Genomic DNA, 16,320 nt, shown 5'->3' with positions numbered 1-16,320 from the left:
TCTATAAAGTATACCTTCAACCAAACTGGCAGCTGTTACCTTTGCTTCATTTCTCTTTGTTTCAGAAAGTAAAAAAAAAAAAAAAAAAAAAAAAAAAAATGCAATTAACCTTTCCCTCACTAGGATCTTTTTTATTTTTTGTTTTTTTTTGCTTCCTTTTCCCACCACTTTATTTTCCTCATGACATCTGTACATTTTATATTTCCTTTATAAAACACCGAAACTATAAAACACTGAAATACATGCACTTACACAACCACACATGCATATGTCATAAGTCAATACATGTTCAAATTAATATACACGTATGATGCTATAAATGTTATGTTCATGCAAAATATATAACTGTATGTTTAAATATCTGATTTTCCCACTATATACATTTCAATTCTCTATATGTAATCTGTTAACATTAAATAACATAGATTAGTTTGATGTTTATGACAGGTGCTAAAATAAAGTATATTTTAAATTTAAATAAATTTTAAAATTTTAAGTACATTTTTAATTTCCCAGGTAAATAAGCAAAACTTTCAAGTGTTATAATTTTTTCAGGTCCCATGTCAGATAACTGTAAGTCAAATTTCTGCCTACAGCTTCATAATTGTTTTCTCCTATGTTTTTGTCAGATCCTACTAATAAAAAGAATTGTACCACATTCTAATGATTTTTGTATCAAAAATGTTAGCCATGCTATTTATGCTGACAATAATAACTGCCTTTTTATCACAAACAACCAGATATTATTTAACACTAAGGAATAAAATAGTGTATTTTAGCTCTTTGACACTTATTCTAACCTTAAATATTCTATTATAATGATAATAAAATAAACCATATTAAACTTTGGCCCAGAATTTATGATATTATATAATTTTATAGGAGTACTTTTTTGCATGCAAAGTTGTATCATTTTAATGATACATGAGAGAGTGAGGCAGAGTGAGAGTGTCTAGCAATAGAAGTTTTACATAAATTATAGATGTTGTATTATTGTTCCCAAAATAGATAGAATGTGAATCTGGGAGAGTTTTTAGGTTGTTCCCAAATTTAATGATAAATGCTTAAATCCTATTAATCTTGTTGGGTGAGTTCTTCATGTCCTGAAGGGAAGGAATATTAAGTACTTTCTATTAAAGAAAGAAAATTTTCAAGTGTAATTTACCTAACAAAATATAAAATAACTTTTTATTGCCACACTATTTGGGATAATCTTAAAGCAGCTAACGCACTAGATCTACCTCTATGAACTCTTGTCTGAAGCAGATCTACATTGAAAATGGTCAATTCCCTCAAGGTATCAATCCTAGATAATAGGTAAGGACAATAATAATTTATGACACAAAATATACCTGAATGACAGTTGTACAGACTTTTATGATTATGCTAAGTAAATAAACAATAATCTGGTTCTATTAATATTTTTATTTGTATCTGTTCTTTTTGAATGAGTGATGCCTCTTAACCTTTTAAAATTTTGTTTTTTAAATATAGTTTTACTTTCTGATTTTCTTCCAGATCTTAGAAATCTGGCAATTCAAAATTTTTACTTTGGTATTAGGCAGTTATAACCATAAGGAGTTGTAAAAACAAGGTATGAAGTAAAAAGATACAAACCAACAGAAAATGACTTAAAGTCTTGAGTGTACATGCAAAACCCGTTCTCTCTCCTTCCTTGCCACACAATTCAAGTTTTCTCATGACCATGCTTCTGAACTACTATCACACAGGTCATCTAACTCCCATTCCCATAGCACTAGCATTTCTTACACCAGCTTTCTCCTGACACTTCACATTTGCATACCTCATAACTACTTTAATCGCTTCTCTGGTCAATAATTTCAGACTATCTACTATTGTGATGTAGCTAATCATTTTATATAAAGCTTTCCTCTTTCATTACTTGATATAGTCCTCTGTGATCAGTTTTGACCAATATTTTTCCATATTCCTCAACCCCCAGCCTCTGGCAACAACCATTCTATGTCATCCTATGTTCTTTTTCTGTGAATTTCAACTTTCAGATTACATATATAAATGAGATTATGCAGTATTTATCTTACAGTGTCTGGCTTATTTCATTTAGCCTAATATCCTTCAGGCTTATTCATATTGTGGCAAATGACTGAATTTTCTTATTTCCTTTTTTTCTTTACAGTTAAATAATGTTTCATTGTATATGTATATACTATATATTCTTTATGCATTCATTCATCAATGAACACTAACATTGTTTACATACCTTGGCTAGTGTTAATAATGCTGCAATACACATGGAAGTACAGATATTTCACAATTATTTTATTCCCTTTGGATATATGTTCAAAAGTGAGATTGCTGAATCATATGGTAATTATAATTTTTAAAAGATGTCTCATACTGTTTTCCTTATGGCTGCACCAACTTCTGTTCCCAAGAAAAATGAACAAGAGTTTCCTTTTCTCCATATCCTTGGCAACGCTCACCTTTTCTATTTTTTATAGTAGCCATTCTAACAGGTGTGAGGTGATAGCTCATTTTGATTTTGATTTTCACTTCCCTGATGATTGGTGCTGTTGCACACCCATTCATTAACTTGTTGCCCATTTGTGTGTCTTATTTGGAGAATTGTTTATTCCGGTCCTTTGCCTATTTTAATTGGGTTAATTTTTATTTTTATTTTTAGCTATTGAGTGTTTGAGTTCCTTACACATTTTGAATAATAACCCCTTATCTGACATAGGGTATGCAAATATTTTCTCCCATTCCTAAGGTTGTCTCTTCACTCTGTTGATTGTTTCCTTTCTCATGCAGGAGTCTTTGTTTTAATGCAACTCACAATTTCCATTTTTTGCTTTTGTTGCCTGTGCTTTTGTGGTTATAGTCAAACAATTATTGACCCATCCAATGTCAGGAAGCTTTTCTTCAATGTTTCCTCTAGTACTTCTACAGTTTAAGGTATTATATTTAAGTCTTTAAAATATTTGGGGTTGATTTTTGTATATGCTCTGGAATAAGGGTCCAATTTTATTCTTCTGCATGTGGATATCCAAGTTAATGAACACTGCTTATTGAAGAGAGATCATCTATTGTTTGTTCATGACATCCTTGTCGAAGATCAATTGCCCATAAACATGTGGATTTACTTCTGGGATCTATATTGTTCCATTGGCCTTTTTTTCTGTTTTTATGCCAGTACCACCCATTTTGATGTAGATCTATTTTGATTACTATAACTTTGTAAAAGTGTGATGCTTTGAAATGTGTTCTTTTTCTCAAAATTGCTTTAGTTATTTGGAGTCATTTTTGGTTCCATATAAATTATATGATTTCTTTTCTATTTTGCAAAAAAACAATCCATGAACATGTCTTCCATTTATTTATGGCTCCTTCAATTTATCTTATCAATGTTTTATAGTTTGCAGTGTACAGATGTTTCACTTCTTCAAAAACATTTATTTCTAAATCTTTTATATTTTTGATGCAATTGAAAATAGAATGGGTTTTGTATTTTTTCAGATAGTTTGTAGTTGGTATTAAAATGCAACTGATTTTTGTGTTGGTTTTGTATCTTGAAACTTTACTGAATTTGTCTATTAAGTCTAATAGTTTTTCTTTTGGAAAGGTCCTTAGGGTGTTCTATACATAAGATCATACCATCTGCTAACAGAGACAATTTTACTTCTTCCTTTCTAATTTGGATGCCTTTTATTCTTTTTTCTTGCCTAATTGTCCTGGCTAGGACTTCCAGTACAATGTTGAATGGAAGTGGCAAGACTTGGCATCCTCATTTTTTTCCTGATCTTAGAAAAATAGCTTTGTCTTTCACCACTAAGTACAATGTTAGCTGTTGACTTGTGATGTATAGCTTTTATTGTGATAGGGTATATTTCATCAATCTCTAAACTCCGTTTGAAAGTTTTTATCACAAAAGTATGTGAAGTGTTGTGAATGCTTTTCCTTTGACTATTGAGATTATTATATTATTTCAAATTTTATTATTTTAATGTGGTATATTATTTATTGACTTGCATATGTTGAACTGTGCTTACATCCCAGGGATAAATCCTGATCGGTCATGGTGTATGATCCCTGTAATATGCATTGAATTTAATATGAATTTAATTGAATGTAATATGCATTGAATTCAGTTTGCCAATATTTTGTTAAGGATATTTGTATCTACATTCAACAGGGATATTGACCCGTATTTTTTTTTTTTCTTGTAGCATTTTTGTCTGGCTATGGTATCAGGGTAATGCTGCCCTCAGAAAATACATTGGGAAGTGTTTCCTCTCCTTCAGCTTTTTTTGTAAAAGTTTGAGAAGAGTTGGTATTGTGTTTCAAAAATATCATAGTTATGATTTATTACAGGGAAAAGATACAGATCAAAATTAGCCAAAGGACAAGACACATAGAGCAGTGTCCAGGAGTGTGTCAAACACGGAGCTTCCCATTGTCCTCTCCCAGTGGAATCAGGACAGCACTACTTCCCCAGTATCGATGTGTTACAATATGCATGGAGTATTGCCAACCAAGGAAGATCAACTGACATTGGTGTCCAAAGTTGTTTTTTGTAAATAATTTTTTTGTTTTTCTAGTGTCTATGTAATTTATTTCTGCTTTAAAATTTATTATATCCTTCTTTTCACTAAATTCGGGCTTTGTTTTTCTTTTTCTAATTCTTTGTGGTATAGAGTTAGGTTGTTTATTTGACATGTTTCTTTTTTCTTACATAGGCATTATTACTCTAAATTTCCATCTTAGCACTGCTTTTGCTACATTCCATAAATTTTAGTATGTTGTGTTTCTATTTTCATATGTCTCAAGATATATTTTAATTTCTCTTTTAATTTTCCTATTGGTCAGAAATATGTTGTTTAATTTCCTCATATTTGTGAGATTTCTGAAATTTCTCCTGTTATTGATTTGTAGCTTCATACTCTTGGTGGTCAAAATGGCTACTTGATATGGTTTCAATTTTCCTAAATTTGTTAATATTTGTTCTGTGGCCTGACATTATTTATCTTAAGGTTTTCTTCATGTGTAAATGAAATTAATACATATTCTGCTCCTGTTTGATATACAGTTTTATATATGTCTGTTAGGTCAAGTTGGTCTATGGTGTTGTTCACATCTTCTATTTCCTTATTGGCATTTCCATCTGGATAATTTATTGATTATTAAAAGTGAGGTATTCATGTACCTCACTATTATTGCATTGCATTTTGTATTATATGTTTTATTCTGTTCTGTTAATATTTGCTTTGTATATTTAGGTGCTCTGATGTTTTGTACGTATATATTTATAATTGTTATATCCTCTTGTTGAATTGACATAATGACTTTTGTTGTCTCTTGTAACAGTTTTTGACTTAAAATCTATTGTTCCTGATATAGTTATAGCCACTCCATCTCTCTTTCAGTTATCATTTACATAAAGTATCTTTTCCCACCCATTTATTTCAGTCTGTGTTTATCTTTTAAGGTAAAATGAGTCTACTATAAGGACATGTAGTTAGATATTGCTTTACAGCTATTTAGACACTCTATTATGACTAGAATCAGAGACACTAGTTTGGAGGCTACTAGACTATTCTACTACAAGAGAGGATGGTGACTTAAATCACAGTAGGTGGGGGAAATATTTAAGGTTATTTTAATGCAGATCCAAAAGAATTTGCTTTCAGTTTGGATGATGTGTGAAAGGAGTCTAGGATGGCTATAATATGTTGAAATTAAATACTTTTAAAAATAGAGGAGTCATCAACTAAACTGAAAAAAGTCTACATGAGAAGCAAATCAGAAGCTAGGGACAGGTTAGAATATTTTTTTGGGCCAGGAAAAATTTCAGATTGAAATGCCTTGTTATTTGAGACATTCATCAGATGTTTCTAAATTCCCTCTGATTAGATCATGATAGATCCGTTTCTGAGGTAAATGAAAATTAAATGACTGCATCTCTGATAATTACAGGAAAACAGAAACAGAGAAAGTTTTGGAAGCTTAATGTCTTCTCTTGACACAACAGAGATAAGCCTATTGAGAAATGTTTTCTGCATTATCCTTTAATGATATAAATATCTCACGTTTTCTTCTGAAGGAATAGTAGAAGTCAACATTGTTAGAGTTAGAAGAGTGACAAATTGAACTGATGGTTAATCTTTTTTCTATGCCTTATATCTTTTAAAAATATTATTGTTAGATTAAATAAAAATATATCTAATCCAGTTTTTCCAAGCCTCATCAGTCTAAGAGTAAAAATTAAATTGGTTAACAGTAATTTTCAAAATTTACTGGCTGTTGCTCTTACTTACTAGTACAAGATTTGCATTCTCTTCAGTGCATCTCTGATGTATTTATAGGAATTTAGAGTAAGTATTTTAACTAATATTTACAAACCATTCTAATCCAAACGGCAATGAGATTTTCTGTTGTATTTTTTTCTGGACACAATTTAGCACCATTCTGATTTCAAGTAAACAAAAATCTGTCCTTGATTAATAAAAATATGACCTTAACTTCCTTAACTGGTTATTAGGAGAAAATAAACCCGAATTCTCTGGCAGAAACTATGGGGGAAATTGGGCTATTTCCAATACTTCTATTTCTGGTTAGTACATGTGAAGAGCGCTGTAGCATTACAGTGCAAAGTTAATCAACAAATGCTTATGTAGACAATGCTTTAAGATATACCTATGTTTTCTCTGACTTTGTTGAAAAGTGGTGTCCCAAGAAGAGGCTTAGGAGCAATCACATCATAGTCTAGGAAGGGCCATCCTATTAGGCTTTTTTTTTTTTTTTTTTTTTTTAACCACATCCCTCTCAGTGAGAATTCCATTGCTGTGGCAATTTATACTTTGGATTCAAAATTGAAGGTTAAAGCAATGTGCAACTATGACATTTTTCTTTCTCACCTTTGCTCACAGCCACCTTTTAACAAAATATGGATATTATCTATTATAATTTCTTTGAAATAAGATAGTACATCCTAAAAGCTTTAAATAACCCTAACCCAATATGAAAACACCTGCTTATATTTCAAGATTCATCTCAAATGCCGTTTTATTTTTAAAGTTCCTTGGATATTCCCAAGCTGTTTTCACGTTTATTTTTTACCATAATAACATATAGACATGTACCAAACTCCTTTGCTTTTATTGATTTATATGTATGTCGATTACTAGATTATAAACTTTTAAGACAAGGAATTCTTGTTTATCTCTCTTTGTTTCACCCACAAAAGCACTGTGATTAGCACATGAAAGACATCCAGTAAATTTGGAAGATTAAATAAATGAATGACTGATGAGAAAATTTCCATAACATACTTTACAATTTAATTTTAGAATTTTCTTATGAAGTATTCATCATTCTTATGCACAGCTTGTCATTTTCATATCTCAGAATCTGCTTCCACTAATCCAAAATAAGCCCTTTCATTGAGGACATGCCAGTTGAATAGATCAAACAATTTTTAAGCACTTGACTCCAAACTGTTAGATACCAGTAAACAGAATTTTATTTCAGTCATGTTTATTGTGTTATTTTGAGCTGGAGAGGTAAAATTCAATGGAATCAGTAGAAAAACCAGGTGATAAAGAATTTTCAGACCTGGAATTCTATTTAAAATGTGGCCCTTGGTCTTCTGTGTATTTTTGTCAAGTCACTTACACATAGTAAGAAGCATACAACTCAATTGGTCAGGTCAAAGGATTAATTTAAGACAATTGCTTAGTGTATACATTGCTTTTAAACATTGTTGCATATGAAAAACACTTCTTTGGTATGTATAATGATAAAAACTATCTAACTGATATTCAATTTGCCTCTTAAATAATGTTATTTATACCTATCTTATGTCACACAGGAAAGAAAAATATTATTATCCGATGATAGTGTCAAACAATATGAAAAGAACTTGAGAGTTGGTTTTCTGTAATCATTCATGGTGTTGTTTCATTTCTAATTTTACAATTAGAAGTTAAACTTTAGAGTCAAAATAATAATAGGACATTTTAATAACATTTTCACCTCTCAATACTTCTGATTAAAAACTTACAGAGGAAATAATCAAAATGCTTCAGTTCTTATGTTGCAAGAGTACTGAATAAGAAAGTGTGAACAAGCTTTTGCTTTTGATAGTAGGGGATATTAGCTTTGTCAACAATAAACACAGCTTGCTATTCAATTCAGAAGCTGAATACGATTGTAACATTATTTTGAAATATGTTTCTGTCTTTGTGTGTATTTCTTTTGTTTTCATTAGGAAAGACTAAATATTGTTTGAATGGCCTTGAAGCAATGGTTTATATCTTGTAGGAACAGGCCTTTAGAGACTACAAGTGTATCAAACTGCAATGGAGAGGGAAACAATTTTCTAATCTCATACACAGTTCTATATTTCCAAGGGCAATCAGATAAAACATTTGTTACCTTCCATCTTTATTTTTTAAAATGAACCATGATTGAAACATTTATATATAATACATTCTTTTAGAAAAGTCCTTGCTGATAATAGGGTTTTAAAAGATTGATGCTCAGAATAAAAACCATTTTGACCTTCAATTCCTAACTTTAAAATGCCTTTGAAAAGAAATCTTTGAAATTTCAATAAAAACTTTAAAAACTATATTGAACATATAACATGTTGACTGGGTGCACTATTATATTACAATAATAATCTCAGATAGGAATTATGCATGTTCAATATCAGCAGTTACTATTCAGTTCAGTAGAAAAAGAATGAGCAAGGACGGGAAAGGCAGAGAGCCAAGCTCTAAGGATGCAGTAAAGCACAAGTTCAGCACTGTGCTATGGCAGGGCTACAGCCTACTGGGAAATGATGGAGTGAGAAGAAAACCCAGCTGGTGCAGGCAGCAATCAGAAAGGGACAAGTCTCTTGCAGAAAGCAAGCTTTGGGCAGATTCCAGGTCTATAACAGTCAAAGACAAACTACAATATAAGTAAAGTAAAATTTTAATGTGTGTTCAGAATGAGCAAACCTGTGATCAGGTACTTCAATACAGTCAACTTTTGAAATAGCCTTATATATGAATAAAAACATAAACCATATAATTGACTTCATTACCAAATGAATCTTCTTAGACATGGGAAATCATAACATTGCATAATTGCTAGTATTTCTTAGAATTATATTTCAAGAATCAGACAGCTACTTAATAATATTATACATCATCTATGACCAACCATATCTTGAAGGCCAAGATATCCACTCAGGATGAAAGGGTGCACAGGTTATAAGTTTCTGATTTTATCTATCAAGCAAGGCCAGTCCCAATCTTTCATTGCTTTCTAGATAACCCACTCGACTATACACACCAGCCGAAAGCTGACCAAGTAAGGTGATTGCTATGACAATAGTCATTATATAAAGAAATTGTCAAACTCATAGTCTAAACTTAGGGAATGGCTCAGAGGATTTCCTTGTAATGGCCATGTTCTTAATCAGATAAAACAGGTGACTGAATCCGAAATGGTCAATCAACACAAGATAAAGAATCTATGATTTTGGCAGTAGCCTATGGCCACTGCTTGGCGAGAAAGCTTTGCCAAACAGGGAGAGTAGTTTTAACTGAGCCAATCTGATTCTGTCCAGAATTTTAACTAGAGATATGTGGACAGACTGGTGTATAATTAAAAATGGAGACACAGAAATGAGCACTTTCTGAGATAATAGATGTAATACAACAGTGACTGAGCAAGTTCATCCTGCTGAACGGTTGAGAATATAATCCAGACCTCAGATCTTCATGAAATTGTTCAGACTTCCACGTTGAAAAACTATTTCTTTATCTTCATAAGTTTCTTGAAATACCTAGCGCCAACAAATCCCTGTCAACTGAGTTGCTAGATTATCATTTTTTTTATAAACTCAAAGACTCTAGCATTATTCTTATTTTCCTTCGATCCCCTTACTGTTTTTATAGTCATTTTAACCCTTAAGAACCTGCAGTTTTCTTCACTAATGTTTCCTTGTCTTGCCTCCACTCTATCATCCATAGTGCATAGCAAAGGTAATAAATTCTCAGTGATTAAATTATTAAAATATAATATAAAATACAATTGCTTTCAGTTTATAATACTTTTATTTTTACAAAAACTATTTCCTTTGCTCAGCACAACGTCTCTGTGATAGCAGTAGAGAGATAATTGTTTTAAAAAACAGAGGCATAAAGATTTAGAAAATACAAAGAAAATATGCAACACTACGAATGCAAATCCTAAGTTTTTGACTCCAAATTCAAATCCAATATTTTTCCCCACATGTGACAGTTGTACACATTTAAATATTGCAGTAAACATTAAAATATTTATTTAAATGTTTGTATTTAAAACTTAACAAGAGAAGACTTTCATTTAGTAATGGCTTCCTGCATCCTTTCTTTTATTTTCTCATATGAATTTTACTTTCTTAGGTCTTAAAATGAACACACACTAAACTGCACTGAAGCTGGTTTGCTGATTTCAAAGAAACTCACAACGTGTTTCAGACACTAAAAGGTTCATCTCAATGAACATTTAGATAATTGGAGGCACAGGGAATAGAGAAAGCATTCCCTGAGCACTAAACTAGTACTACAATAAAAACAGAAAATTATCAAATTTTGTATTATAACATACATACCCACCAAATCAGCCTGAAGAAAATATAATAGTTTTGGGAACAAATTTCTTCGTAGTTGTACAAAAATCACATAACTTGCATGGAAAATAAAACTCTTCAATTTGCTTACAATCTGAGTTGCTCATACATACTGTCCTTGATCTTTAGAGAGATAGAAATGTTAAATTATAAGGATTATAAAGGAAGCCAAATAGAAGCTGTGGTTTCTCCCAGAGAATTGTATAAGTTTTTTTTTCTTCCCACTTACATGTATCTTAAAGTTTTCAATCTGCCCCTTAAAAGCAACACAAACATTGTACCTGCTATGAAAATGCAACATAATATAGGCCCTTTCACAACTCCATTCCTTCTCGTCACATAAACATACTTCCTTATGGAAAGACAGAGACCAGAAAACCATCCTATATATAAATTCTGAAGGAAAAACTAAACTGCATAATAGACCTCAAATAGAACTTTCTAGAACTGACAAAATGCCCTCAAGGGATCAGCTATTTATGTTAATGGTTACCCTGAGGATAAGGAGAAAATTATCATAGAGAGCCTTTCCTTGGGAGAATAATTTTTTTTTATTCCACAACCCATTTTCTGATGAAATCTTCATTAATCCATTAAATAAATACTGATATTTATTTTAGTGAGGGTTGGTTTCCAGAGCTACCACTAATAGAGCTGTAGAATAATTTTACTTTATATATAGACTCCTATTTTCAAATCTGAAATTTTGAAATTCTGAGATTAATATTCAATTGAAACCTTCCCAGAGGACTTGCAATGTGGGTTTAAAAAAAACATACATCCACATAATTTAGTAATTTCCTGAATATGAGTCTGTATTACCAACTTCTGTGATTGTATTAGTCCATTTTCCTACTCCTATAAAGATATACCCAAGAGACTGGGTAATTTATAAGGAAAAAAGGTTTAATTGACTCACAGTTCTGCAGGACTGAGGAAGCATCAGAAAACTTAACAATCATGGCAGAAGGGGAAGAGGCAGGTCTTACATGATGACAGGCGGGAGAAAGTGGCGAGTGAAGGAGGAAGAGCCCCTTATAAAGCCATCAGATCTTGTGAAAACTCACTGTCACAAAAACAGCATGGGGGAACCCACCCCCAGTATTCAATTACCTTTACCTAGTTTCTCCCTAGACACATGGGGATTATAGGGATTACAACTCAATATGAGATTTGGGTGGGGGACACAAAGCCTAACCATATAATTCCACCCCTGGCACTTTCTAAATCTTACATCCTCACATTTCAAAAGATAGTCATGCCTTTCCAACAGTTTCCCAAAGTCTTAACTCATTTCAACATTAATTCAAAAGTCCAAGTGACCTTTTTCTCACAGCTCCACTAGGCAGTGCCCCAGTGGGGACTCTGTATGGGGTCTCCAACCACACATTTTCCTTCTTCTCTGCTATCCCAGAGGTTCTCCATGAGGAGGGCACCCCTGCAGCAAACTTGTGCCTGAACATCCAGGCATTTCCATACACCCTCTGAAATTGAGGCAGAGGTTCCCAAACCTCAATTATTGACTTCTGTGCAACTGAAAGCCCAACACCACATGTAACCTGTCAAGGGGTGGGCCTTGCACCCTCTGAAACAACAGCCTGAGCTGTACGTGGGCCCCTTTTAGCCATGGCTGCGATGCAGGGCACGAAATTCTGAGACTGCATGAAGCAGCAAGCCCTTGGCTTAGCCCACGAGACTATTTTGTTCTCCTAAACCTCTAGGCTTGTCGTGGGAGGGGCTGCTGTGAAGCCCTCTGACATGGCCCGGAAACATTTTTTCTATTGTCTTAGTGATTACCATTTGGTTTCTCATTACCAATGCAAATTTCTGCAGCTAGCTTGGGTTCTCCAAAGAAAATGGGTTTTTCTTTTTTATGGCATTGTGAGGCTGCCAATTTTCCAAACTTTTATGCTCTGCTTCCCTTTTAAACATCAGTTCCAATTCCAAACCATCTCTTTGTGAAGGTATAAGACTGAACACTTTTAAGAGTAGCCAGGTCACATGTTGAACACTTTGCTGCTTAGAAATTTCCTCTGCCAGATACTCCAAATCATCTCTCTCAAGTTAAAAGTTCCACAGAGCTCTAGGTCAGGGGCAAAAAGCCACTAGTCTCTTTGTAAAAGTATAGCAAGACTCACCTTTGTTCTAGTTCCCAACAAGTTCCTCATCTCCATCTGACACCATCTCAGCCTAGACATCATTGTCCATATCACTACCACCTCAGCCTAGATTTCATTGTCCATATCACTATCAACATTTTAGTTAAATACATTGAACAAGGATCTAGGAAGTTCCAAACTTTCCCACATCTTCCTGTCTTCTTCTGAGCCCTCTAAACTGTTCCAATGTCTGCCTGTTACCCAGTTCCAAAGTTGCTTTCACATTTTTGGATATCTTTATAGCAGTACCCCACTCCTGGTACCAATTTACTGTATTAGTTCATTTTCCTACTGCTATATAGACATACCTGAGGCTGGGTAATTTATAAAGAAAAGGGGTCTAATTGACTCACAGTTCCACAGGGCTGGGGAGGCCTCAGGAAACTTACAATCATGGTGGAAGGGGAGGAGGCACATCTTACTTGGTGGCAGGTGAGAGACAGTGGCAAACAAAGGAGGAAGAATTCCTTATAAAACCATCAGGTCTTGTGAGAACTCACTTACTACCATGAAAACAGGAGAATAGCATGGGAAACAGAAAAACAGCATGGAGGAAACTGCCCCCATGATTCAATTACCTCCATCTGGTTTCTCCCTAGACACATGAGGATTATGGGGTTTACAATTCAGGATGATATTTGGGTGGAGACAGAAAGCCTAATCATAGCAGTGATCTGTTGAGATTTCATGAATTGTATTTTAAATGTCCTAAGGTTCTTTTGTGGACTTCACAGAAAACAGAAAATGAAAGGAGAATTTGTCTTACAAATTACAGCTAAATAGATACTCCGTTGTTTTCTAATATGCTCTGATCAATGTTGCTACCTTTGCTAGGCAGAATTAAATATATCTCATTTTGTTTTGTGTGAAAGCCAAATATTACTTTTTATTGAAGAATAATTTAATGGAGCAGAAGAATTTCTCTCAATAAAACCATGTCTCAAAGTTTGCTTTCATATAATAGTTGGTATTTTCAGATTGGTCTGCTAGCTCTGCATGTATTAGATTTCTGCAATAGCTATCAGGGAAGAAATAGCAGTGTTAGCAATTTGTAAATCCATAAAGGAATGAGATTTCATCCTATGCTGTATTATAAAAATCACTCCACAATATTACATAAAATGCAAATCTGACAAATGCAGATCACTGAATGCATATGTTTAAAATGATTGTTTTACAGAAAATGGGTATATAGAGCGAATGGGAGAATAACAAAATAAGAAAATAGAAAATGAAGAAGTGGAATAAAGAGGCAAATAATAAAAACAAATTTAACTATATTTCATCATGAATTCTCTGTGACTTTCAGTAACTATTTAAATTTGGGACCATTTTGAAATTAAAGCAATTCTAAAGTGCCTGGAGGAGAGAGGGATGAGTGGCCTGGAAGAAGTCCTCAAAATTGGCAGGACATTGTAGAATTAACCACTTCTCAGGTTCTGGCTCTCAGTCTTCAAGACAGAAGCATAGTTTACCCATAGATTGAGAATGACTCTCTTAGGGGTGCGGTCATACTAACTATGATCCCAGAACTAGTAATATGCACTTCAAGGTGGATGTTATTAATTTTCAATAGAGAAGTATAATTGTATTCATATTGAGATATTTGAGTTGCCATAGTTAGCATGCAGACAGATCTGAATAGAAACAAAAAACTAGAGGAGCATAAGTGTAGAGGATGCATTATGTGTGCTGTGATCTGTGGCAGCTAGAGAAGGTATTCCCCTCTTTCAGAAACCATTACTACATTACTTGCAAGAGCTCTACAAATATGTTTATGGCTTTTGCTTGCTCTCTTTTGTTTTTGTTTGCTTGTTTTTGAATTTTTGTTTGTTTTTGATCAGCCCTGAAGTGGTCCACATTCTGCCAAATATATTTTATTGACATTTTATGTACTTTTTACTCAGGGAAGTTATATGGTGATTTTGTATTTTCATTTCATGATGTAGGAGGATAATGCCTATCTCTCCACTATATTTTCAAACTTTATTTATATAGCTTTAGATTTGACTATATTACATGACTGTTTCCTAATTTTGTATTGACTAATTAATATAATTAGTATAATGAATATGTTGCACACATAAGCATTATTTATTATAATTTTTTCATGATAAAAAAGCAAGGTAAATATTTACATTGCTTTGTGTTTAGTCATATTACAATGCTAAGATTATTACAAATAAAATTTATTTAAAGGTTCAATTTCAACTTAGATCAGTTTGTCTGAAACTGAGATATAGAATCCATATAATCTCATATAGCCTCAGAAACATTCTCAGAGTTCTATAATATTTTTAATTAAAAGAAATCCTCATATTACTTATTTTTGGAGGACACTGGGATTTATCAAATACATCAAACTCACCATTGTTTATAATTAAAAGTTTAGAAGAGAATTGTATTGGTGCCAAAAATGTTTTGATTTGATTCCTCTTGGAGTTAGTATCCCTGAAATGTGGGGTTAACATTCTGACTTACAGGAGGACTCTAAATTTCCCTTTTCCTTACCTGCAGAGTAATTATATAATTGATGACTATCTTTTCTCAAATTGTTAGGTAACTAAGGTTTTCAGTAAGAATCTTCTATTAGATAATGAAAACTCCTTCCTGGGCACTAAGACAGTGAGCAAAAGACAGGGTCCACCCAGTTTTCAGAAATTTTGCAATACTACTGTTATCTACTGTTATATATTTTTCACTGGAAATGTACATAAGATGGCATTTTTCAAACTCATGTCATGTATAAAATATGAATAATACATAACCAGATTTCCCTAATCCAATTATGTATTAACATAATTTTTAGTATTTTAAATAAAGAATATAATATGAAGATTTATTTGATTGGTGTCCTTTAGGTCCATCTTGATTGGGAGCTATTTAGTTCATTCTTCTGGAGGTTCCTGTTAGTCTATTTCTCTGTCTTGTTCTTGGTTTAATCATTCTTTTCTAAAGCAACATTTAGACAGCTATTTTTGATCCCATAAGAGATTACCCAAAGTGCCTAAGTTCATAGGATATTTTAGAGCTTGTTCACAAGCTCTGTCTGCAAGGGACTTATTTTTCACTTTAGCCTTTTCACTGTAAGGTTTGTTGATCTTGATTTATGGTTTCATTGGATTTATTCACTCGATTCTTTCTACTCCCTATGATATTACTTTGTTATTCTTCTCTGTTAACCTCTATTTTCTCCAACTTTCTGGCAATTACTTTTTCTCTAGCTCATTTATTCTTATTTTTCTTCACTATATATATATTGTATATATTTTTCTACCTATCTAAAGTTGCTAGGGCTTGGAATGACTAATTTTATTAGCACAATCACTAGGAATACAGTATTCCATTCTTCCAACGTTAGGAAAAACATACAAAAATCTTTATTCTACGCTTATTGTTTTTTCTTTATGTTTATATTTCTGGAATGTATGACTTAGAAACAAACAATATGAGTCTGAGTTGGGTATGGTCCTAAGTTAAATGTGGCTATTCTGCTTTAAAGACAGAAGAAGTATT

The sequence above is a fragment of the Homo sapiens genome, chromosome 8 (genome assembly GCF_000001405.40).
Source record: "Homo sapiens chromosome 8, GRCh38.p14 Primary Assembly".
NCBI classification, from domain to species: domain Eukaryota; kingdom Metazoa; phylum Chordata; class Mammalia; order Primates; family Hominidae; genus Homo; species Homo sapiens.
This window is presented reverse-complemented; position numbering follows the sequence as displayed.